Source organism: Homo sapiens, chromosome 3 (assembly GCF_000001405.40).
Source record: "Homo sapiens chromosome 3, GRCh38.p14 Primary Assembly".
NCBI classification, from domain to species: Eukaryota; Metazoa; Chordata; class Mammalia; order Primates; family Hominidae; genus Homo; species Homo sapiens.
Window position 1 is genome coordinate 73,559,927 of NC_000003.12, and position 27,266 is coordinate 73,587,192.

General features: G+C 40.8%; 1 protein-coding gene and 1 long non-coding RNA gene across 5 annotated transcripts in view; one reads left to right on the top strand and one right to left on the bottom strand.

Annotated features, from left to right (window-relative positions):
* LOC101927296 (uncharacterized) overlaps nucleotides 1-9,848 on the top strand; it is a 48,453-nt gene extending 38,605 nt beyond the window's left edge. Inside the window, exon 2 of the long non-coding RNA NR_121660.1 lies at nucleotides 9,269-9,848. This is a non-coding gene — a long non-coding RNA (uncharacterized LOC101927296). The remainder of the gene's footprint in view (nucleotides 1-9,268) is intronic.
* Nucleotides 1-27,266, bottom strand: part of PDZRN3 (PDZ domain containing ring finger 3) — a 242,511-nt gene that overhangs the window by 177,496 nt on the left and 37,749 nt on the right. The window contains exon 1 of one of the 4 annotated variants that reach the window (NM_001303139.2): nucleotides 9,225-9,589. The exons of 2 other annotated variants lie outside the window; for them this stretch is intronic. In NM_001303139.2, coding sequence (NP_001290068.1) covers nucleotides 9,225-9,236 — 12 coding nt within the window. In that variant the 5' untranslated portion in view covers nucleotides 9,237-9,589. Of the gene's footprint in view, nucleotides 1-1,524; nucleotides 1,655-9,224; nucleotides 9,590-27,266 lie in introns of those variants that run through there. One more of the 4 variants, NM_001303140.2, reaches the window with a different exon arrangement.

Below are 27,266 nucleotides of genomic sequence, written 5' to 3' on the forward strand. Positions count from 1 at the left end.
CACCCAGTTCATTTACAAATCACATACACTATTTTCTGTCAAGGGCGGGAGCAGCTCTGCCATGCCCACTGTCACTGACATGATGTAATTAGCATGGGTTATGTTAAAACTTAGGTTTCTGCAGGGGACATCTCCCAGAGTCTGCACCAGACAGTGCCTGCTCTCAAGAGAACCAACAATCTGTAGGTACGAACATGACTTTAATCCAATAAGGCTTGAAATCTTTTTCTTCAAAACCTTTTCCCTGAAAACCCTCAAGAGAAGAAAAACATTTTCGAAGAGCTCCTTTTATGTGCCAAAAGCTATGCTGGACAATATTCACAAATCTGCCAAATTTGACTGTTATAAGCATCTTATGACTTACCATTATTACTGTCCCCATTTTACCGATGAAGAAACAGAGGCCAGGAAAGAGAGAGTGAGCGGAATAAGGGACAGAATTCAACCTCGAGGCTGAGTGCTCCTCATCCCCCAACTATATAAGGGTGTGTTTGGGGGCAAAAGCTCTGGAGCACAATATACAGATGGAGAAACAAGACCTTCCATAAGAAAATATGCACCACTGTATATGTGGTGGAAGAACCGGGAAATCATTTAAATATACCTGCTCAATGGCATGTCAGACACATTTTGCTCCATTGAGAAATACTCAACCTACTCATCATTCAAAGGGTTGTTTAAATGTTTAAATGCACCTGTGCATACTCAATTGTATCTGCCCCTTTTCCCATATTCATGGGATGGAAATGTTCGGCAGATGGATCCCTTTGCATCAGCATCAGATTAATTTTGTAGAGATGGAGATTTTAGAACACAGATATTTCTGTATTTAGCACAGCCATGGCTGAGCCTCATTCATGATCCAGAAAACAGCATTATTAGGAGTAAAAGATTTCTTAATGCAGAAAGCCCCCTAGGCTCCAGGTGACTGACAATGAGTCACGGCTCGTGCACATGAAATGCGTTTGGCACATTTGTACACTAAAGTCTATTTGCTGGGTCTAGATGGTAATGGTCAGAGAAGCAGGGAAGACAAGGGAAGGGAAGAGAAGAACAAGCAACTATGTAAACAGCTCTTCTGGGGAAACCATGTAAAAATTAAATGAATTTGCCTATTAGCAGAACATAACCACATAAAGAGATCCCGACAATAAACTTTACACACATGACTTTCTCACCTTCAGTTAGGATGCTTTACTTCTCATTGATCTACTGGATGGCTGAATAAAATATAGAATTTGTTTGTGATTTAAAATCCTAGAGCTGCAAGCAGTATAACTGTTTTGTTTTTACATTTGCCAAACTGCCCTGGTGGAGCTGCTTTAAAGAGAGGTGGCAAACATTCTGAAAGCTGTCAACCTTTCAACCATTAGGGCTCACCCCCTCTTAGACAAACTCCCATACTTTATCTGTCATTACTGCTGTGACCAGGGCAAGCTGCATTTTTGTCCAGTGGCTACAATGAAATGAGCATTCCAGCTGATTCCACAGCATGTCAAGAAGGGAAAAGGTTAATATACTCACCAGGGAAAGCTGGGGTGCCTCAGAAGTCTAGAGCTTCCAGGGATGTTGTTTCTATTCAGTAAGAGAGACATCTCAGGTGTATCCTAAACATTTGGATGCGTCAGCTCGGAAGTGTTATTTCTCAGCAACTGACTTTGCTTATCCGTTCACTTGCAAGGCTATTATATAAGAAAGGCTGAACTGAACTACTGTTGAAAAATGATGCACTCACATGGTGAGCACCAGAAAGGAAGCTGTGGTCTTCACGTGCATCTTCGCATGCGGATCCTCACATGCGGATGCTTGTGCACTTGTCTACCCCATTTTCTGAGGCACGTGTTTGGGCCAGAACTCCTGAAATCCCACGTCTCAATTCCTGGACAAGCAAACTTAAAAAAAAAATCCTCTTTCCTCGATTTTTACTGTGATTTGAAACACATAATCAGAACTTGGTACAATTAACATCACAGAGAAACCCAAGTCATTTTTTTTTTTTTTTTGCTGGAAAAGCTGTTTGTTTTTCATTAGGAATTCATGTGAGCTTCCTGAATTTCAAGAAGATACATCTGCTCCTTAAATTTCAGTGCTGTGTCAACACTTACTAGGAAATTCATAAATTCTGGTCAAAAACCATCTTTTGATCTGGTTTGATTTACAGTTTCTAAAACAGAATAGAAAAGCCTAAATCCCCATTACACTCACATGTACAGAGATGTATGAACTGATATCTCAGTATTCTCTCCCTACCTCTCTCTATTGCACACAGTGGGAGCTAAATAACCCTTAACACATTAATGTCCCACAGATAAAAAAAGAGTCATGAGAATACCATTAACATCACCAGGGTAAAAGCTAATAAAAGAAATCTAGTAGGTAAGTGTAATATAGATAGTGTTTTGTACATAGGACATCCAGTATAAGATGGGCATGATATGCCTCTCTTAGGAAACTGACCTGAGAAACCCCTGGCATTAGGAGGTGTTTCATTAGATTGAAATTAGACGTGGTTTCCAGATTCCCTTTAAAAGAATAAAACAAAAAAGTCTCCATTCCCTGTAAACTACACACAAAGTATATCATTACTAAGACGTCACTTTGCTTTTGGAGAAGTTGTGTCACAAAACCATCCTCCCAATCACAAACCTATATTTACCAAGGTCAGCCCCGTTAAATGCATGCCATCTACATTTCCGGGACTTCAGGTAGTGCAAATGCTTCTGAAGCTTACATAATTTGGGGTACAATGGATTCACCCCCATCCCACCATCAAAGCCCGAATAGAGAGCACAGCTGTCTATTCACTGAAATTTAAGGCTTTTGTACTTCATTTGCTTTTCTTCCTCTTTTTAATTTGGGGAAAGGGCAAGAGAATTCTTTACCAGAAATGATTCCAAGATGCACTTCTCACATTAAGAATGAAGTATATCTCCTTTAAGTGATACTGTCAACATAAAACATTTCTAAGTCAGCTTAATCCTTTTTTCTATGAATGGAAAATACATTTTCAGACTTTCTGGTGGTACTTATTTAACCATGGGCTGCAAGTTGGCAAATTATATATATATATATATATATATATATATATTTTTTTTTTTTTTTTTTTTTTTGAGACAGAGTCTAGTTCAGTTGCTCAGGCTGGAGTGCTGTGGCACGATCTCTGCTCACTGCAAGCTCCGCCTCCCAGGTTCACGCCATTCTCCTGCCTCAGCCTCCCGAGTAGCTGGGAATACAGGTGCCCGCCACCACGCCCGGCTATTTTTTTTTTGTTGTTGTTGTTTTGTGTTTTTAGTAGAGATGGGGTTTCACCGTGTTAGCCAGGATGGTCTCGATCTCCTGACCTCGTGATCCGCCCGCCTCGGCCCCCCAAAGTGCTGGGACTACAGGTGTGAGCCACTGTGCCCAGCCGCCAAATTATATTTTCTATTTAAAAAAAAGATGATGAACTGGATAAATCAAAAGCAGTGGTTAGGAGAAAGCTAAGCAGACCCGTAGAAGGAATATTCCTCTTATAATCACCTTTACACAGACTAAAACCTTATATTTTTTAAAAAGTTGCCTGTTTTCTGCATGACTTTGCTGATAATTTGGAATCAGAAGTCTACTTTCTATGGCTACTATTTTATACAATTTCATTTATAAATCAAGAGACATTTGCCTGCTGTGGGCTTCTGCAAATTTCCTATGGCAAACAGATTTTTTAAATGCCTGAATTTTCTACCAACTTATGGCAGAGTTAAGTAGTCATGACTGACGCTATATGGCCATAAATGCCAAAAACATTTACTATTGAGTCCTTAATAGAAAAGGTTTCTGACTCCTGCTCTACATGCTTAATAAACTCTTACAACATCCTATGAGGTATAATTATCATTCTAATTTTGCAAAAGAGGCAACTGGGGCCCAGAGGGGGAAAACAATCTGACAGAACATAAATAGCGAGAAGATGCAGAGGTAGGACTTGAGGCAGGCTGGCTCCAGAGCCCAGGCTCATAACCACAAGGTAACCTCTCTGTTATTGGGTATTAGTGTAATTATTACCATGAACATGCAACCACCTTGAACACACATGTTCTCCCCCTGGGCTTCTGGGCTGCTGTGAGCACGGTTGCTGGTTTAGAGGCTGTGCCTATTCTGCCCTCTTCCTGGCTCCTCTAATTCTCTCTGCCTGAGTCATGCCTTCTGTAGCCAAACCTGTATAACTCTACATCAAATATCCCAAATATGGGGACTGAAAGTCTCAGCTGAATGATTTAGAACAGTCACTTAACATCTTGAAAATTCTGTCTTCCCATGTGAAAAATGTGTCTGATAATCCTGGGAGCCATGTACCTACTTTGCAGAGCTGTTCAGACCTTAGCTGTTCTCTGCCCTCCCTACCCTTCTTTGTGTCCTAGTCTCACCTTTTATTGAAACCAGCACCTGGGTTTGTTTTCACTGACAGCCATGTGGCCTCAATTTAGGGTGTGTGACATGGGAGGGCCAGGATCTCAACCTCTGCCCCAAATACATTCCATCAGCCCTCTCCAGCACCTGTAGCCAACTTCTCCTTTCAAAGCTCAACTCCGTTCCTTGAGGTTTCTTCTCCGCCCTGCACTTTCTCTTGTGGGTTGAAGAGGCAGGTCCAATTTTCACCTGATCTACACAATCCCCTATGCTCACTGGATGGTCCAATCCCTCTTAGGGCTTTTCACTCTTCCAGGTCATTCCTGGTACCACTCAGGAACTTTCCTTCTCAGCATCATAAATACTATCCTTTCCCTCCCCAATAATTAGTGGTAAGCCTCATAATTTAGAACTCAGGCTCTGAAATTAGGCAAATGTGAGCTAGAATGCTAACTCTGCCACTTCCAGCTGTGTGACACTGGGCAAGCCTAACCTCTAAATTCACTTTCTTCATCTGTCAAATGGGGCAATAATATAATTATTGTGTTACAGCTAATAGGTGTAAGCATGTTGCCCAGCATACAGTAAGTGCTCAATAAATGTCAGGTAGCTGCTCTCTTATGATTTTCATGATCATTCTCATCATCATTACCACCACTGCCAATTTCTACATCTGCATTATCAAAGTTACCCAAGTACAGAGTGTTAAGGTAACTGTACACACAATATCAGACAGCATAGCACTATGTAATACTGTATATACCACCCGTTCTCCAGGGCTTTAGGGAAATACTATATCCACCAATTTTTTTTTTTTTTTTTTTTTTTTTTTTTGAGATGGATTCTTACTCTGTTGCCCAGGCTGGAGCGCAGTGGTGTAATCTCGGCTCACTGCAACCTCTGCCTCCTAGGTTCAAGCAACTCTCCTGCCTCAGCCTCCCAAGTAGCTGGGATTACAGGTGCCTGCTACTATGTCCTGCTAATTTTTTGTATTTTTGGTAGAGACGGGGTTTCACTATTTTGGCCAGGCTGGTACTGAACTCCTGACCTTGTGATCCGCCCGCCTTGGCCTCCCAAAATGCTGGGATTACAGGTGTGCACCACCATACCCGGCCTATATCCACCAAAAATTAATGGAAGTGAACAAGTCACTTAATCTCTTTAGGCCTCATCTGAAAAGGAGAGAAGGTTGGATGAACTGACAGTTCATGTTTATGAATGTTGTCTCTAAGGATTAGGTTGATAAATCTGTGGTCTTATTTCACCTTCCACTACGCCCTGGGAAGTTGGGACAAATCCTACCGCTTTCCAAGCCGACTCTTCATTGAAAACTATGCTTCAGGGGCCGGGCGCGGTGACTCACGCCTGTAATCCCAGCACTTTGGGAGACTGAAGCGGGTGGATCACCTGAGGTCAGGAGTTCGAGACCGGCCTGGCCAACATAGTGAAACCCTGTCTCTACTAAAAATACAAAACACACACACACACACACACACACACACACACACACACACACACACAGAAAACTATGCTTCCAATAAAAAAAAAATTCCCTATTCTCATAAAAACCAGGTTTGTCTTCATTCTTCAAACCAATTCCTGAGGCTTATCCTGTGCGATAAGGATTTTTATGTCAAAGACATGAGTCACATCTGAGAAAAGTGAAATAAACTGGATACCTTTTCTTACCTCCAGAAAAGTCAAACAGCTGAAAGCCTGAATATCCAGAGCATTCAGGTAATTAGGAAAAAAGGCAAGGGAGTAAAAACCTGAAATTTCCAGATGTGACATGATCATTGTTTGACAATTTTAAATTATATTTTAAATTTTTGTTGTAAGAGAGAGAAAGGGATATCTTCATTCAGCAACTTTGCAATTAGACTTACTTGAACCAATTTCTTTTCCTGGTTTACACAAAATGACACTTCCTCTAGTACGAGGATTGCAGAAAACCTCAGCGATAAACAGGCAGGCTCACAAGTCTTTAGATTAAAATGGAATTATAACATTTTCTCAAAATATTTACATGAACTGTGAGCACAACATTCAACTCATAAGAGAAAATACTGAAGGAAAGTCTTTATCCATAAAATTCTCTTAGAAAATTTAGAAGGAAAATATGAATTTATGTAAGGAACTCTGCAACAAAAGAACCACTCCTTTGTCCTGATTTTGAAAATGCTCATTATTTGAGAGTAAGAAAATGTATCCATAAAGGGGGGTTCCAGTAGGATGAATCTGGTATGGCAATGACTACTTATTGCCTACTCATCTCTTTGCTGCCTTTCCTTTGATGGTGTGACCCATATTTTATTTGCCCTCAGAGAAAGTGCATAAATCCCAATTGGTCCAAGCCATTCATGGTAATTTATGGCCCATAATAGGATTAGTGGTTTGTTTCATTCTGTCCAACAAACCACTAACAAGGGGCAGCCTGTTCTAGAGCTTCTTGGAAAGCTCTCTTCACACCTATAAAGACAAGAAAACGGTGTCTTGCTGGTGTCTCTGGAGACTGTCATGCCGAGATGCAATGCCTGAATCTGTGGCAGCCATATTTTGACCATGAGGAGACTACTCCAACATGCTAAGGATGACCACAAACAACTTGGATCCTTGACAAGGCCACTCAGCTCCTCTACTCACTAACCTGGGAATCACCTGTCCTTGTACCTAAAATAATATGTGTAAGCTATTTGGATTTGAAATCTCTATTACTTGTAGCCCCAAATATCTAAAGTAATAGAGTTGACCCAGTGGAAAAATATAAGAGAAAAACCTAGTTGTTATTAGACATGCCCTCAAAAAGTCATCCAGAACAGAATTGTTCTGGTTCAGCCATATGACACAATGTAAAAGCAACATGTTATAAGAATCTGGTAGTTTGATCAACATGGACATCTATCCTTCCTGGGGCTTTTCATAACTTTCCTGGATACTTCCACATCGAGCAGACAATGCCTTAATTATTTGCATATGTTGGACTCTACAATCTGTCAAATGGAGATTTAGGAACAAGACTTTCAAACTATATGTGAATATGAGAATGATCTAAAAAAATAGTAACAAAATCTGTTTTTAAAAAAATGCCAGGTACATTATTAGAAATAAAAGTTCAAAATCATGACCTGAGTTTCCAAAGTTTAAAAATTCCTCAAGGGTTTAAAGCAAAACTGATGATTAACAGATTTTATCAATTCTACTCAAGCAGAACAAGAACAAGCATTGGAATTCCTTCTAATTCAAAGCCCACTGAATTAGAAAAAACTCCCCCAAAAGCAAGTCTTATTTATCTGCCAGACATGATTCAGAGAACTCTACACATATTGAAGTCTAAACCTGGTTCATTTGTAAAAATGTCCTTTTATAATAATCCTCATACCTCAAACAGCCTTCCTCCAGTCCGTTTCCTACTGTTGGAACATAGGAACTCAATGATCAGCTTAGTCTTTAAAACTTAGCCTCTATCTCCCTTCCAAACATGTTAACAAAGGGTGTCTGGTATGTCAGGCACCTCCCTAGGGCAACAGAAATACAACGATAGGGTCCTTGCCTTCATGGAGTTTATGTGTTTTTGTTCTAATGCTGGAGACAGACTAATCAATAAAATTAAATAATAATTACCATTTGAAAACCCAAGAAATAAAACTAGTGGCTAATGCGATAATGAAATAAATAAGGAGTTGAAGGGAAACCAGAGGTGGGAAAAGCAGTTTAACCTCCAATAGAGAAATCAGGCATGGCTTCTTTTGATAGGTAACAGACAAGCAACAAAGATAGGGGATTAGGGATAAGAAGGAGCCAGCCAAGGGAGGAGCCATGTGAAGCCAGCAATCAAAAATAAATGGCTTCTTGGACCAAAGCCACAAGCCACCTCAGGGATCTCATCTGTAAAATGGTGCAGATCATCACTAACCTGTCTATCTCCCCAGAGCTAGATATGATAATGAACAGGAAAGTCTTTTTTTTTCTTTTTAAATCAAGGTTAAAAGCCCTATAGTTATGTGCCTTTATTATAAATCTTCCCCTAAAAAAGCAGGTGGCTTGAGTTGCTACAGAAATAGACACTCATTGCTGTCATATGTTTCATACTGCATCTCTCAAGCAGTAAAATTAAAACTAGTTTTGACTTGAGAAGTTTTACAGCCTTTGAGATACCTGGAGATCCAAAGGGCTATGTCTCTAAACCACAGCTGAGAGTCGCTCTCCTACAAAACTGTGGTAAATGCATGTCATTACTATAATGATCAACACAAATACACACCAAAACTACCTTCCAAATATCACGCATGTGAGACAGACCGATGTCAGCAGGGGATTCCCGGGCAACTCGCTTGATATGGTAGCACATGGCAGCAGAGGCAGCTTGGGACTTGCTGGCCAACAACCAAACTCTGTTTGTGGCATACTCTTTTTATAGCCCTACCTTCTAATACATGATATTTGCTACATGATTATCTAAAAATTAAATAATCAGCCACAGCACTAGGAGGAAAGTCAAATCCTGGGATTAAAACAGGTGATATGCATATCCCAAGGCAACACAGTGGCCCAGGCTTATGCTGTAACTGTTTCTATTTGATTCACGGAAGCCAGACCTACAGTCTTTAAGAGAGATTTGCACTGTAGCAGGGAAGGATAACTGAAATGATAGAGCCTTGCTGAAATTGTTGTTCTGCCCTTTATCTCTCAGGAGGTAGGTATCATTATTCCCATTTCTAGATGAAAAAACTGAGGTCCTATGAAGTAAAATAACTGGCCCAAAGTATGTGCTGCAGCTGAACTTTGAACCCAGCTCACCTATTCTAAATCACACACCCCTTTTCATCACATTGCCTCACCTGGTTAATCATGTTTGATTCTTCTTTACTCTTTGATTCATCAGGAGGAATCAGATTTCTGAAGGTCCTTCATAAATACTTCAGTCTGCAAAGATGAACAAGAGGAGCCCGAAGAATGTCGTATGAAATGAAGACTGAGATACTGAGATTCTCTCAAAACAGCCTCAGGTGAACCAGGAGAATAAGCAGGTTAATAATCTTTAGTGAGGAGGCTGGGAGGGAGGGGGCCACATGTGTGCCGCATACCTGTACAAGAGTACATATTTCCTGTCTCTTCCATGTCACGTTCTCTTAAGCCCCGAGGCGTCTACACTGACAATTTCCACTGCACAGAATGCCTTTCTCCTCTTCTCTGCAATGAGATCAGCTGCTCCTCAGTGAAGCTTTCTCAGAAGCCTCCCACCCCCACACCCGCACACACATTGACAGACACAGAGGACAGACAGCCCTGTGCCAAACCTCAGCCCTGTGTCTGGGGTCTTCTCCAGGCAGGACCTGAGGTTACCTTTCTCTTCCTCCCTAGTGCTTAGCACAGTGCCTTGGTTCAAACATGCACTCACTGAGCCTACCCCTGGCCAAAGGTCCAGGCGCTGGGCTGGACTAGGGCTGGCAGTGGTGAAGAGAAGGAACTCTCGAGGGGTTGAGAACAGGGGCTCTGAGTGACCTGATATCTACCTGCTGTGCCATCTTGGCCATCTCTTAAACACTGTGCCTTGGTTTCATCATCTGTAAATGGAAATGACAGTCCTGCTTGCCCCCTCACAGGGCTGTTTTTAGGATAAAAGGCAGGAGGCAGACAGGAGTTGGGTGACACTGACTCCTGAGAGGGGGTGAGAAAATGATGCCATTTCAGCCTTTAGCCTTCTATTACTTTCTGTTCTCTTACCCTGCTTCATTTTTCTTCCAAGCCCTTATACTACCCCGCTGACACATTATATATTTGGTCTCGCTTACTGCCTGGCTCTGTCCTACTAGGATTAAGCAGCATGAAGGCAGGACTCTTGTATTCTTCTCTGCTGTGTATTGGCACCAAGGACAACAATGGGCATGTAGAAGGTCTCAAATATTTCTCAAATGAATGAATGAATGAATGAAAAAACAAATAAATGAATGACAAAACAAACGAATACTGACTAACTTATGAGGCATACATCTAGAAGAGACAACGAATGTTAACAAAATGTGAGACTATGAACTGCTATTTTATGGCAACAATTACCGGCATATTTCACTTGCTTTTGTACTGGCCAAAAAGTAAAGGCTGCGTATGAATACACTTCTTGAATTGATTTTTGGTGTTCTGCTATGTGGCACAGGAATCCTCACACCTGCACCTGACATATCCCCAGATATGTAATAAATGCGGCATTAACCCACATGCTCACTTACTGATGGGATTATGCATTCATAGAGTCCTCTAAAAGAGAAGGAATCCTCTCTAAGATAATCTATTGCTCCAAATGACCGGCTGCCTAGATTCAGGTTTCCTCAAAAGCTAGCCCTTGATTTTGACTGATCCGGGAGCAGAGCCTTCCCATCTACAAGGAAGCATCAATGGTGGCCCGTATGAGCCCCCATCCATGTGGCAATGTATCAGGTTTCCAGCAGCACAGAGAAAAGAGGAGGAGGAGAAGGAGGATGAAGGTGCCCAGGAGGTCCCCAGACTCTGTAACCCCTCCCTGGACTCATGCCTTCCAAGAGGTTCCTAAAAAGTCTCTTAAGGTATTAGTTTTATTCTTGCCCTTAACATCCTATAAATACATCTGCTTTTGCTTGCTCTCATCTACCTGGCTGTGGGCAGAAGAAAACTTGTGCACAAGATAAAGAGAAGAGAAAGATTGTGATTTTTATCACCATCATAGCTACCATGGAAGCCCTACATTAAAAAGCATGATTATATGCTGCTCAGTGTATGGACTAAGTTTTTGACGATTCAGTTTTACAAAAATCTACCTTAACTATGGTTTTCCTCCAAATGAGATTAAAACATTTCAGTCAACAACATACAATCTCAGTCCTATTGTACTTTCTCTACCATGTTTTCCATAAAATTACATGCCCTGGAGTGCTTTTATTTTTCCTATTTTTAAAAGGTCTTTGTATCCCTTTTTTCTCCATATCCAGTGGTGAGAACAGTGATTTATCACCTGCCACACTCCCGCTATTCAGTATTCCCACCATAAATCGTGCCTTTGTGACAAAACCCTTATCTTCAAAAACAGATAGCGTCAACCATTACTGCTTTTTATGTCAATGTCCTTTTATTTCAGAATGACTCTGTTTTCATTATAGATCCTTAAACATATTAGCAGAAGACACATTCGCAGCAAATGCCTTCAGTGAGGGGCAGTCCAGCTGTAGTCACATTCTCACTTCTAAAGCAAGGGTAAAATCCTTAAGTAAACACGTTCCACAGGGGCTGTGCTAAAGTACATTTTTCAAAGACCAATGCCATTTGGTTGAAGTCAGCTCCAGAGGGCCACATACCTTTTCAATCAAAGCCGCAGCTGCCGGGGTGAGAGTCCTGCCCCCAGAGAAGAGCCTGGAGACCTCTACCTTTATCTCCCCTGAGCAGGCGGCTCTCACCTCATCAACAGACTGCTCCAAGAGTTGACCTCTAAGACGGCTGCTCAGAACCGGAAGAGCAGAAGTGGCAGTGAGATGGAAGCTGGTGTGGTCACAAATGTGTCCCGAGCACCGTTTTGAAAAAACAGGAACATACTTTCCACTCACTCCAATCCTCGGGCTGGGAAACGGCAGGGTAAAGAATGGAACATGGCATTGGGTTTAGAAAAAATTTCCTAGGCAATTTTGTACTTAACTTGAGCAAGGGACAGTATGATACTTTTTAGAAATCTAATCAGGTTTGTGACAACAAAATGTTGATTCAGTGCAAAAAAAGGTCTTAAAAATCATTTCATTTGGTACCTTTCTTTTAAAGAAAAGCAAGCTGGAGTGAATAGGTGGAATTCAGGTGTCCAAAGTCATTCTTGTTTCAAATTCTATTGTAAAATATTGATAAAAATAAACCATTAAATCCATTTGCCCGGGCTGTGAATTTGCTAAGTTTTGACCCATTTAATGTGTGGTCACAAGGATTGGTTTTCTTCCTTTATCTCTTCTCCCTCTTTCAGAGATTTTAATAAGCTCTTCCAAAGTAACAAAGTTCATGTGGTTAAACTTCTAGCTGCTAGCTCAGTTTTATGGAAATCCAATGCTGTGTTCTATTCCAGTATACTCTAAGTTGACATAAAAAAGTCCTGGATCGATTCATCACAGTGCTTAGAAATGTCATTAGCATCCATTGGTTCCTTGGAGTGTATTCCTCTACCCTGGGCCTTAAAACTTCACATGTATGTCAGAAAACCAGGCTATCTGGGGATCTCTGTGTGAACAACTCCCATAAATCACACTGTACATTCCGGCTGTCAGGGTGCATATAATTCAACCACAGTTGGTTGCGTCCTTGTTCCAAGCACACCTGAGTCACTGCAAGCAGTGGGACAGCAGTACAAAAAAGGAGCAGCACTGTCCAGAGACAGCAACAAATCAGATACTCAGAGAAATAATTACATCAAGCCAAGAGGGATGAGGCAGAGGGAGTAGCTTTATTTTGCAAGAGTGCCCCCTCCCTTTTTCAATAAAAAAATGCAGATTCCCTCCTGCATTTGGGAAAACTATGCATATGTATCATTTGGATTTCAATGATTTAATGGGAAACTTGGAAAAAATTGTTGGAATTTTGAAAAGATGGCTCCGGGAGCAGTTAGGCTGGAGAACTGAGATAAAGTGAGAAAATAACACACAACTCATTAGCAAAAGGGAGGTTTTAGGCTCTTTTGTGTCCCACAGTGTGCCGGAATTAAGGCTTATCTCAGAGCCTCTAATAAGATACAGAGGTTGGTTGTTGATAGTTGACTGGAAACCAGGGGTCATCTGTTGAAATGCTGATCTGTCTTACCTGTCCCAAGGGCCTCTCTGAGGTCCTACAGTGACCCTCTCTGGCAAGACAAGACCCCAGAACATATTAAGGTAGGACCCCAGAGCAGATCAACAGCTAGGCAAGATCTCCAGGGCCTTCAGTTGCCAGGGAAAGACAGAGTATATATAAAGCACCCAGAATCATATGTTCTTGTTACAGACTGTAGCAAGTGACAATCTGCAATGTGGCATCTGGGAAGACGAGGAGGCAAAGTGAGGGGCAAAGTGTCCTCTAAGATGAAATCTAGCCACAAAGCCAGAGCTATATTTAAGCAGTAGAACTTTCTAGCAGAGGTTAACACACGTCACTCACCAGGTCATATTTGTCCCACCACCTGTTTTATTAAATAAAGTTTTATTGGAACAAAGCCATGCTCATCCAGTCACATATTGCCTGTAACTGCTTTCACACTACAATGGCAGAGTTGAGTAGCTGCAACAAAGACTGCATGACCCCCAAAGCTGAAAACATTTACCATCTGGCTCTTTACAGGAAAAGTTTGCCAACGCCCGTTCTATGGTAATACCTCAGTTGTAAAAGGTGAGCGTCAGAGATGGTTTTCATTTTTCCCAATCTATGCAAGTCCACCAAAAATACTTTAGCAGGCTTTAAAAATAGCCACACACACAAATACATACACACATATACATATACATATACATATACATACACATACACCTATACATATACATATACATATACATATACATATACATATACGGTCCTTACCATAGTCAGCTCTAAACATTAACCCATATTGTACCACTTTAAAAAAAATTCACAGCAAATATAGAAGGGTGTTTCTATCCCATTCAAGATAAGCTGGCCAAGTTTGCCTTGCCATATATGCAAACTTCTAGCTGCCTGGAAAAGCATGCAGCTAGCTTCTTAGTACATCCTCTGGACATGAGTGGTTTGCAGGAGGCAAGAAGGCCTGACATTAAAAGGGCAAATACCCTTTATTCTAACATCACAGAGAAGTAACAGTTGTCAGGATTAATGAGGGGGCTCTCGCCCTGTCCGATATTTGACACTCAGCCTACAAAGGGAAAAAATGTCAAACATCAATTATCTTCTAAAGCCAAAGGCTGTCCTCTAAGTACACTCTAACCCCTCTCTTGGAGCCTCTTGACTGCTAATCTTCTCACCATCAAGAGAACTTGCCCTAGGATAAAACCAAACTGAGTACTTGACCATGGTAATTAGGCAGAGTGAGCTGGTATAGCTGAGAAATCCTTCTTAGCCACTCCCCTCACAACACTTCTTTAAAAACAGAAATAAAGTCAATGAGTTCACAGGAAGAAGCACTTTTTTTTGGCTGGGGTGGGGGGGGTGGGGAGGGCGGAAATGGAGTCTCACTCTGTTGTCCAGGTTGGAGGGCACTGGTGCAACCTCAGCTCACTGCAACCTCCACCTCCCGTGTTCAAGCAATTCTCTTGCCTCAGCCTCCCAAGTAGCTGGGATTACAGGAGCCTACCACCACGCCCGGCTAATTTTTGTACTTTTAGTAGAGATGGGGTTTCTCCATATTGGTCAGGCCGGTCTCAAACTCCTGACTTCAAGTGATTCACCCGCCTTGGCCTCCCAAAGGGGGAACAAGCACTTTTAATACAGCAAACTTAGCCAAAGGGCAGAAACCAGTATCGACTAAATCTAAAAGATAAGAAGGTGCTTTTTACAACAAATTCAACTTCCCCCCTCATCTAGCCCCTTTCCGTCTCTGGCAGTTCAGCCCTGTGCTAAACAATCCCTTCATTTACAGCACAGTCCTATTGGAGCATGCTGTCAAATATAACCGAGTTTTATATCTCTCAGCTCACCAAAGGGCTTGATAAGGTGTCATTCCTTTGAAGTGTTGTACAAGAGAGCAAAGTGATGTTTTGTTTTTTAAAAATAAAAAAGTTAGTAAGTTAATACAGCAGAAAATCCCCAAGCTCTAAAGGACTTCATGTTTATCACAAAAATTAGTATTTCTGTAATTCAACATGATCGCCTAAAGAAGTAATGAACGTAAGCAGCATTATACTGTACTGACAAGGAAGAACAGGGGTTTATAATTACACAGGTACTTCTTGAGAAGTTCACAAATAACTATAGAGCAAATACAGTATGTGTGTTTTTTGCAGTTCACGTCGGTGCCTGGAACCTGGAAGAGCCATCCTTGCATGACCAACTCCACTGTACTACCTTATCCCTCCCAGAAGGTTCAGAGACCCCATTTTCAAGGCAAATCTCCTTTCCAAACTAACATGTGCCACAAGCTCAGTGAAGCACCACACAAGAAGAAGTTGCTCCAAGAAGCCTCATCTCATCTTTTTCTCCCAGAATTTGATCAAACACAGTGACCTTCTCAAGTAGAAACGCGAGAAACAGCAGTCAAATTGAATAGAAAGTTAACTACCAAATTTCATAATGTTTACTTTACAGTTGGGACAAAAATGTGAGGTGTGCTTAAAAAATGCTTATAGACAAATGTGAACTTTATCCAAGAAAGTTCAGAAGAAGAAAGAGAAGGGCATTATAGAAAGAACCTGCATTGTGTTGTAGAGACGACAAATGAAGACTGGCTCTAGTCCCAACTCTGCAGCCATCAGATGACGGAATGGGAACAGGTTCTTCAGCTCTGTATGCCTCTGTTTTCTCATTAGACAAACAGGAGACCAAATTAACTGATCCCTGAGTTTTTAAATTTTTCCTATGATTCTTTATGGTGATCTAACCAATTTTTGCATATTACCTAAGCAGTAAGCCTCTTAACAAATGTATATTTGACTGCCAAAACTTAGAGTCACACAATTTGGAAGTTCAGGAGAAATATCATAGAAAGAGAGACAGAGAGGGGCAGGGGGATGAGGAAAGGAGGACAGGAGAAAAAGAGAGAAAAATCAAGCGAAGTCATCTTCTGTTATATTGCTATCATTCTGCAGGGAGTCATTATATGTCCTTTGGAAGAAATTACACACATGCATGCATACTCTCTCTCACACACACACATATGCACAGTGGCATACGGAGCTGCCTATTTTCTGCCAACTTCTTTCCTTTACCCTCCACTACCCCAAACTGAGGAAATGAGCTCTATCCAGTGTTAAGGATGGGAGAATAAGGTCTAAATTGAGATGGATTAAAATAACACAGTTTAGATATATGATTAGAGGTGTTACCCAAAGCCATTCAAAACTAAAGCTGATATAAAGCTGATATCTATATACGTGATATAGGCCGAGTGAAACTGCATCCTCAAGACCTATGTGTCCCATAATCAATCTACGAGTCAAGACAACTGCTAGTGTTTCTAGGTTCCAGTGTGCCAAAGAAGAATGCCATAGCCTGACTTTAGCAGGGACTTTACATGTACTTTTTCTTTCTGTATAAAAAAAATCAGTGATCCCAGCTATATAAAAGGTAGAGAAACAAGTTTTCAGGGTGATGCAAGTAGAATTCTAAGTCCCCCTAAGTACTAGGAAATTTATCTTTTCAAGACAAGCATCACCACCAAACACAAGTTTCTTAAAGAGCCTGGTGAAATCATCCAACTTTTGCCTTTTTCAATTTTGCATGATTGAATTCACTGCCTAAATACACTTGTTGATAGACATGAATATCTACCCTGTGTGCTAAAAAAGTGGGACTTTACAGAACTGTCATCTTGTTGGTGTGTGTTACTATACATTTAGAGTTATAGACAAAGAAGTCAAAGTCTTAGAGATAAGTGAAATTTCTGGAGAAACAATGAGACTAAATTAGAATAAGTAAAAAAAAAATAACACATTAAATCAAGCACAACCCACATTCTCAAGACACTTATTTTCAATGCTTCTATTAGCACTGATTACAGGGTTGTCAAAACATTCATTTTTGCTGACCTTAATCTGCAATGTGATGTGATGTTTTGGGACATGACTAAATTAATACTTTTCTAAATGGAGTCGCTCACTCATGCATGGTTGATGAATCATTCTATAAGAGGTCAATTTTCATTCATTCATTCTAGCAAAGAGGGTTTTTCCCAGCTTTCAAACCCAAATTGAGAGCTTGGTGTAATGTCTTTCCAAAAGCAACTTTTCAGAACGATGAATCTAAAGGAAAGCTTGATAAACCCAAGGGATGAGAAACCCTTACATGACTAGCTTCTGCTGTGACTGGATCTCTGTGGAAAGTTCTACTCATGCTCCCTTTACTCACTTATGTTTTACATTGCAACCCCACACGTAATCAGAGACGCAGATGTTTGTGATGACAAGGATTAATAAATAACAAGAGTCCTTGGTACCTGGGGAATCCATGCTAAGTGCATTGTGTGCCATATCTCATTTCCTCCTCCTGCCAGAGAGCTTCCCTTTTTCCACCCTGCTCTCTGTCCCCAGGGAGGATACCTTGTATAGAATGGTTCTCTGGTCTCCCTCGCTCCCTGGCTTCTAGCTGGGACCAGTCAATGGGGCACAGCAGAGGAAAACCAAGGGAGAGAGGAGAAATGCGCCCTAGATTTGTGCCCCGCCCCAAAGTTCCTTCCTGTGGGATGTCTCTTGATAGCACTCTCTCCAGAGTGCACAGCTCCTGTCTTGACAGCCCTCTTCACAGACTGCCTTTCTTCTAGGTTCTGGTACCTCCTTCCACTCCTGCCCTTCAAGCCAAAGGCCGGTCACAGCATTGCTACTAGCCCAGTTACTGCCCTATGCTCTTCTTCCTGTACCCCAGAGTTTAATGGACTATGGCCCTGGAGCCAGATCTAGCCCAAAGCCTCTTTTTGTGAATCATATTACTGGAAGACACACCTGTTTGTTTAGGTACTGTCCATGGTTGCTTTCCCTCTAGAGCAACAGAGTTGAATGGTTGAAGCAAACGCCACATGGCCTGCAAGGCTGAAAATATTTACCATCCGGCCCTTTACAGAAGTTTGCCGATCTCTGTCCTACACTCTTCTCATATCCTTGAAAATCGTCCTTTTACTAAACTCTCTGATGGATCCTATCTTAAGTGTGCCATTTGTTTACTACTGGGATCCTTTATGATATGGTCTTTGACCATTCTTTTTTTTTTTTTTTTTTTGAGACGGAGTCTCGCTCTGTTGCCCAGGCTGGAGTGCGAGTGCAGTGGCACGATCTCAGCTCACTACAAGCTCCACCTCCCAGGTCCACGCGATTCTCCTGCCTCAGCCTCCGAGTAGCTGGGACTACAGGCGCCTGCCACCATGCCTGGCTAATTTTTTGTATTTTTTTATTAGAGACGGGGTTTCACTGTGTTAGCCAGGATGGTCTCGATCTCCTGACCTCGTGATCCGCCAGCCTTGGCCTCCCAAAGTGCTGGGATTACAGGTGTGAGCCACCGCGCCCAGCCGACCATTCTTTCAAGGTACCTTTAGTTACTGTAACTGTTCCCGTTACATAGGGGAAAAGGAAATTAAAGATTCCTTTAGGACAAAATGTTTTGATGAAAAGGAAAGGGAGAATGAGTGACAAAAAGTAAAAGCCTGGCAAGAAGGGGTAGAAAGAGAGAGATTGATTGATTTTATGGGTAAAGTGTTAAAAATCTGTCAATACACTGGGGATCCACAGGATTTCTTTCTTATTTCAAAGATAAATTAATAGGAGCCATTAATCCAAGTTTGCTTTAGGGACCAATGAGGAACCTGCCCCCCTTTCTGCTTGGATATGAGAAATGTGAACATTTCAGCTAATGAAGTGGAAAGAGTTTAGGACAGAATTATTTCTCCATTCTTGAACTGTGTGAAAAATTACGCAGGCACTTGGTTTGCTAAAAGAGTATTACATGGTTAAACACAGTTCCTCTTAGCCGGTCCCTACTCCCTAGACTTTTAAAATTACCTCAGTAATATCTGAAGACAAAAATTTTCCAAGGTGCACTGATTTTGGAAGGTCCTTGCTTTGGTCTGAATGTTGGTGTCCCCATCAAATTCATATGTTGGACTCTAATACCCAACGTGATAGTACTAAGAGGTGGGGTCTTGGGGAGGTGGTTAAGTCTTGAGGGTTCTACCCTTGGGACTAGGATTAGCGCCCTTTCAAAAGAGGCTCAAGGGAGCTCCCTTGCCCCTTTCACCATGTGAGGAGAAAGCAAGAAGGTACCATCTTTGATGCAGACAGCCTTTACTAAACAATGAATATGTCAGCACCTTGACCTTGAACTTCCCAGCCTCCAGAACTATGAACAGTGAATTTCTGTTGTGTATAAATTACCCAGTTTAAGGCATTTTATTATAACAACCTACATAGATAAAAGGTAGTCCTACTCTGTGGGGTCTAAAGCCAATAAACAGCTACTGCTAGATAATCATAAAGAGTAATCAATTTGAGTTACCAGTTATTTAGCGTGTTAGATATGCCAAGGCCCTTACAAATACTTTACACTGTTTTATTATTTACAGATTCCAACAAACTTATTTTAAAAGTACTACTATGATTTCCATATTTTGGATGAGAACATAGAGGTCGACAGGTATTGAGAATTAGCCCACATTTGTAAATGACAGGGACTACACTTTAAAGAGCTTTTCTGAATGTGGCACACTGCAAGTTGCCCCTGTGTAAGAGTGAATTTCACTCTGAGAGAAGTAAGAAGCCCGCCACTGAGGATCTGACTGTAATAAGGGTGCAACTGAGAGGTTATTTTGTAAATCACGGCACCACTGTTGAGGTTTGCTCCATGGGATCTATCCCATTATGTATGGAGTGTCTCTGTGTGTGTGTGTGTGTATATATATTTATATGGGGTCATATTTACATAATATTTAGACTAAGCTCCTTCAGACCTATACAGAAAAATGTGTAAGTTCAAATCTCACCGAAGCAGCAATGATTCCCGATGAACTTAACCCATGAAAGGAAGGCCTTTCACATCCCCAAGAAGTCTCCACCTATCATTTCCATGTTATTTGGTACCTCAGACTCCCAAGTCTCCATATTCTGTAAAGTGCTCCTATGGGTGTTGATTTATTCAGCTGAAAAACTGAAAATCCATTTTAGGATTGAGTTGATCTTCACTGAGGAAAAATATCAATTTTCAGAGCTTTGTCTAGGACCCTGCAAAGAACTTAAGAATTCTTAACAGAGGTTCACGAATGGTCCCAAGGAGTCCACAAGTCCCATGAAATTGTATGTATACAAGTGAGAGGGAGAGAGGATGAGAGCCTCTGAGAATGTAAATTTTTTGGCATGAAGATCCATAACTTTCCTCAGATCCTTATGGGGTTCTGTCTTTCCCAAACCACAAAGAATCTGAGCTGAGAGATAACGCAGGCCTCTTGTCTGTTGTGCAGCCAGCTCTCACAGCCATGCTGGCTTAGCCAGAGAGGCAAACACGCCAGCATCTTCCCTGCTCTTCTGAATTCTCTCAAGTGTAGAGTGTTTCCCATTACTCTTTGCATTATGCCTTACTCACCACTGACTCAAAGTGATCCTGTGATGTCACCAGGCACTATAGGCACTATTTCCTACAGATGGGAACTTGACATAAAGAGGAGAAGGCTGCACTGGCCTCCATCCAAATGGTTTAGTGACTCAAGTAACAACAGAGCCTCTTCTGTGGCTGGACCTGTTTCACCTGTGAGGCAATTTCTTGACATCCAGCCTAAGACTCAAAATAGGGCTTTTATTTAACCTTGACTTGTTTGCCTACAAAAAGTGCATATGGACCTTTTCCTATACCTCTCTGGACATCTGTGGCTGAGTAATTCTGCCTAAATTACTATGTTTTGTGTTACTGCTATTTTCCCAGAGTGTGGCTTCAATTGCGTCTTGCTTTATAACAATAAAATCTACCTCAAACTAATTCTGAAATACAATGCAGCTGCCTTTGCTGTATCCGGTTAACAACTTTGACATAACATACCAGAAGCAACCAGCAACAGATTTTATTTCAGTAAAATGTCCCTTTTTGGGGAGGAGGGATACATTTTGGAGTTTGAGGTTTACTCAAATGTAAATTTCTAAAGTTCAGATGTACTCCTACATAAGAAGAACAGACCTATGCAAAAGCATAAGCAACATTCCTTTTGGAGTTTTCATGGAAAGAATCACCTGTGTGTGAGAGCAGCTTTCTCTCAAAGAGAACTGATGGTTTGCTTATGATGTTTTTTATTTTTCCTCATATTTTAAAACACACTAAACACTCCCCATGCTGTGAACATACACACTCAACTATGTTATGTTTGTCTTTGAATAAACATGACTCTACTTTTGGAAGACACATCTTTCAATAACCAGCCTTGGAATTTGTGTGGGTATGTCTGTGTGTGGGTGTGAACGCATGATTTAGTTATTTATATTTTAAGATTTCATTTCTATTTTATTTAAGATTTCTGATTATAAAGAAATATCTGCTTATTGTGGAAAATACAATTTTAAAAACTGTATGAGTGTATGTTATACATTCAACTTCTTGGAGTCCGAGTCCCAGGACTATAGGAAATGGGTAGAGGGACATTATTACAGTACTGCTTGTAGGTCCAAAAAAATGCAGAACTATTTATGGCTCTGTCAATGGAACTGTCACTGAATAAAGTGGACTCACACTCATATGATGCAACATCATGCATTTATTAAAACCAGTAAGTTATATTTGTATCTATTGATGGAATGGGCACAATATGCTATTACAGAAAACATGTTGGAAAATGAGCACAGGAGGGTTGCTTCTGTGTAAAGACAATGATTAAAAAAAAAAAAAGCTGAACATGGTGGCTCACATCTGTAATCCCAGCACTTTGGGAGTCCAGGGCAAGAAGATAGCTTGAGCTCAGGAGTTCAAGAACAGCCTGGGTAACATGGTGAAACCCCATCTCTACAAAACATACAAGAAATTAGCTGTGTGTGGTGGCACGTGCCTGTGGTACCAGCTACCCAGGAGGCTGATGTGAGAGGATCACTTGAGCCCAGGAGGTTGAGGCTGCACTGAACCGAGATCACACCACTGCACTCCAGCCTGGGTGACAGAATGAGACCCTGTCTCAAAAAAGAAAAGAAAAACCGACATCTCATATGTGTACATGTGTTTCTATTTTGTATAATCATGAAGAAGGCTACGGAAGGCTTTGTGCTGGGCTGCAAACTGCTTACCTCAGGGTATGGGAAGAAGAAAAGGAGAGGAAGGCACATGTAGATTTGTCTTTTTTTATTTTAAAATGTCTTGTTTCAATGATTGTGGCAACTCCACAAAACATTTTAATCTGGGGGATGGTGCATTGAATAAAATATTTCTTTTAAAGAAAATGAACTATACATTATAGTACAAAAATCTCAGAAACCACTCCACTCACCAAGATAGGCCACTGCTGGCAACTTGCTGTGTACAAATTCTCAATACTTCCTATACCTATACTAACAAAAATAAATTTTAAAACAAAATGTATATTTTATATATATATATACAGTTGGCTAAATGTTTTTATGATGATTATTGTTTATACACACACACAGTTTTGTATATACTTGTTCACTCGAAGAGGCTCCAACAACTTAATGAGGCTCCAACTATCCACTGGCATGGGATCTGGCTGGACAGAAATGTGGCATAAAGGAAAGCACACAGAGCCAGATATGGATTTGGATCCTGTCATCCACAATGGTCAGCTGTGTGACCTCTGAGAAGGCACTTACCCCGCGTCTCAGTGGTGTCACTTGTAAAATGAGAATGATACTATGTATTATTGCAGTGTTGTGGGGACAATGAAATGAAATAGCACATTAGGAAACAGCCCATTCCTCCAATAGACACAGATATAACTCACGGGTTTTAATAAATGCATACTATTTCATCACATGGATGTGACCCCAGCTTATTCAGTGATACTTCTATTGATATAGCCTTACATTTTTTGCATTTTTTGGACCAACTCACTGCCTGAGCTCATTGTGTATGTACTCAACTGCATACAGGAGCCACTCAACAATGGAAACTATCAATAATCATAATGTGATAATGTCACTGAGGACTTGCTACGTACTAAGAACTCTTCTAACAGCCCCTAACATCTTAAGATTTATTAATTCATTTAAATCAGCACACCTACCTTATGAGATAGAAACTGTCGTGCTCATTTTTCAGGCAAGAACATGAAGGTCCAGAAAATTTAAGGAACTAGCCCAAGGCTACGTAGCAAAAATATCAGAGCTGGGATTCAAACCCACACAGCTAGCTTACCCTTATCCACTATACATACTGCTGCTCAATGCTACGACTGAGGTAGAATTTTATGGAAGTAAATTCTTCCTACATAAGCACTTCTGTGGATCATGTAGTAACAGATTAACTATATGGCGAAAATAGCCTCAGGCTAGCAGTTGATATTCTCAGCACTGGTTTCCAGACCTTTTCACCTGGGAACATATGCATGAACTCCACTAGATACCCAACACTAGCCCACTGTGATATTCTGCACCCTCCTCCCATTCTCCCTATGTGTCCATCTGGTCACACTCTGCCAAGGAAACATGGCAGCCATAAGCACCTTCAGGACCCAAAACAAAATTTAACAACAGGAAGGGAGAAAACTCTGCAAGTAAAATAGCACAGGATGGCCTCTGGTCTGTACTCACCTAAAACCACAGTACCTCACACAATCTGTCACTGTAGGAGTCCACCCTCAAAGTGGCCAACTTATGATAGCAAATAGCTCACAAACGTATGATGGAAGGACTGATCCCACCTTAGACTCTGCTCACAGGAATGCCATGACCAGCTTATTAAACCTACTAGGCAACCCTAACATCAAGCAAAAATGGCTTATTTCCAATCTCCAGAGACATTCAGCAAGGTGTCTACCACCACTTTCAGTATTCCCTAAATTAAATGAAAATGGCATTTTAGTTTCCTTAAATAAGGTCTAAATGATGTCAAGTTCTAACTTTGTCTCCTAGGTGGTCTGTAACATGAAGCCACCAACAATTAGCTTTGTGCTTTCCCTTCCAATGCCAGGGCAGTTCTCTTCTCTCTCTGACAAGGCCAGGACATTCCCTCTGTCTAGTGTGGTAAATGAGGGGAGAAAAAAAAAAAAGAGGAAAAAAAAAGCAGGCCATTTATAACTTGCGACTTTTACTTCAATGCTCTTAATGAGCAGAATCTGGCATCCTTGTTACAGGAGCATCTTTCAAGATTACTACTGAACTTTAGGTGGCACAGGGGTTAAGTTAGGAAGGAAAGGAAAAAAATGATCAATAGAGAAGAATAACCACTTCCATCCAGGAAACAGGATAATGACAGACAGACCCTTTCACTTTGGAGTTGAACTTGAGTGCTAAAAACAAGTTTTGTCCAACTAAGTGGCTACATTTCCAGCACAAGTTAAGTGGTGCTTCATTTAATGGTGTGTGTGTGTGTGTGTGTGTGTGTGTGTGTGTGTGTGTGTGTGTGTATGCATATGCGTTGTGGATAAGAAAATAAAAGCTGATTTAGAAAACAGAGAAAATATTAATTAAATTTAATAAAACTACCTAGTTTTTTGTTTGTTTTAAAGTCACTTGTAACAGTTATTTTGATTCCTCTAGTGTTCTGATTTAGATTCTAGTATTACTATGGTATGTCCTTAACAGCATTCCATGGCAGTCTCTCTAAATACAAAAGCTACGTTGCATTCTATAGTTAATATGTTCATTCTTGTTAGAATACCAAGCTAAGCAAAATGCTACATTAAATGCACTCAAAATTACCAATATATTTTGACATAAGCAGCTAAGTATGCAGAGAGCTTATCACTATCTTTTTAACTTTTGTAATTGGGATATCACCCACTAAAAACATCCATTTGAATGACTTCTGCCATCTAACACTCCAAAAGGACAAAGAAACTGCACTGGTTTTATCTTCTCCTTTACTCCTTTAGAAATCTTTAAAAAAATTTTTTTTCAAAATAAACTATTTTAATGTGAGTCCAGGCTGCCTCCACTTTGAAGAGATAACATTTCAGCTTTAAATTGGCTGGCATATAAACACATAAGCAGATGCCCCACTAACTCTAAACAATTTTAGTTTCCTTTCTTGGCTGAGTGTTTAAAGCAAAAACTAAGATAGCTGCCCTTAGTTTTACCATTTTAAAGTTTAGGAATTCAAGTTTTAAAGTTTCTTAGCAAATGATATTAGAAAAACAGATCAGAAATGTCTATTAGGAAGTTTCTATTTGGTCTCTTCGTTTATATTAAGATTTACATTGGGTTCAGCATAACTGTCATTCTATGAGAATATTCCTCTATTTTCAGCTTGTCACATTTTCTCACTAGTTCAGCACAGAACACAAATGAACATTTTGGCAGATAGCTAACAATAAAAAGGTAAAATAAATCTGTTTACTACAATAGGCTTTAAACATCATCTTGTTCATCAAAGCAAGGTTGTGGCCTGGTGGTAGGAAGCCATGAAGACCTTTCTCAAGGCCTTTGCTTAATGCCCTCATTTGCATCCACCCCTTTGCCGCACCCCCACACCCCCAGAAACCCTCAGAAAGTTCCACTGTGTTTTATTGCTTCACTGAGAATTCAGTTTAATTAAGCAGCTGTGGCAAAGCAATTATTTCCTGGAAGATGGATGGAAATTCTGTGACAACAACAGTGACTAAACTTCCATCGAAGAAATGGCACACTCAAAATAGGTGTCAGCAAAGGCATCTTCCAGAACTTAGTTGCTACTGATTTTATGTTGCCAAAACGGGTTTTGACAGGCAGATAAGATCCAAGTCATTGAAGGAAGACAGGACAAAGGTGACCAATGTTAAATATTTTCCAAAAATGGTGGCAAAGCTGGCACCTTCATAAGCAAAAAGCACAACTGCTAAAGGAAACTTACACTGTCTTGCATGGAACCAGTTAACCAGAAATAACACAATTTCCTAAGTCTTATTGTTAAACAGGACTAAGAAAAAGGTTTACTTGAAATACAAATACTGGAATTCATAAATGCAGATTTTTAAAGTTTAGATTTTACAAAACCCAATGTGGCATACCAAAAATTAAACTCCTAATTTTCTTATGATACCCTTATATTTATATTTTTTAAAAAGAGCAAAATCAGGGATTCCTCACGATTTCCCTCTGGCAACCCCATTCATTCCCCTGCTTCTAAAGAAAGGAACTCTTTACTCCTAAATTCCTCCTGGCACTGGGAGAGATATCTATTTTAACCCGCTGCTATTCCTGTATGGACAGCTGGCAGATTCCACCTGTCTGCAGGAGGTGTTGTCGAAGTATCAAATGTCCCCAAGGCCTCATGACATACTGTCACCTGCCCTGAATACTTCTAATGTTAGACTGCCTGCAGTTTTACCCTCAGAAGTTGATTGTGTGACTTGTACATCTATTTCGGAGTCAGGCAACACACATTTACTGATTGAATACTCTGTACCAGGCATGGTGCTAGTACTGAGAATATGCGGTGTGCAGAGCACAATCAATGTGTCCCTGCTCTCAAGAGCTTACACTCAAGCAGGGCCTTCCTTGATCTTTTCCTAACAAACTGCAAACCTCACAGGGACACTTCACCGGGGGGGTCTCAGAGATGCTGGATTCAGAGACCTATTTAGGTGTAACTTACTACCTTCCTACCAGAATCCAGAGTGCAGGCAATCACCACACATGCCACACAAAGCATCCCCATCAAACATCAAGCTGATACAAATCTCCTCAACTGGAGATGAAATTACCCTGCACACCAAAGCTACACACTTAGAAATGAGTTATGCCTCCAAAGGCTGGAGCTATGTCCCTTTGTGGTAAGTCTATGATGATGCAAACGACCACCAGTTAATGCCATCCAACTGCTGATGGAGTGCAGGGCCCATGAACTTTGCCTCAAATAAGAAGTTCATAAGTGGAAAGGTGACAGGAAGAGGAGATTATTTTTACAAATATAGTCTAATATCAAATTTGACTCCATTGTTTTTGCAACAGGTTTGATTTAGTTTTGCCATGAGCAGATCCAACAGACCCCAGGGTACAATATCAGAAAGACATCTGCTGTTAACACGAAGGCACAGCCCTATCCTCCAAAGCAGAATGTTTTCAAACTGTGGGCCACTGCCCTTTAGTGAGCCATGAAATCAATGTAGTGAGTGGCAA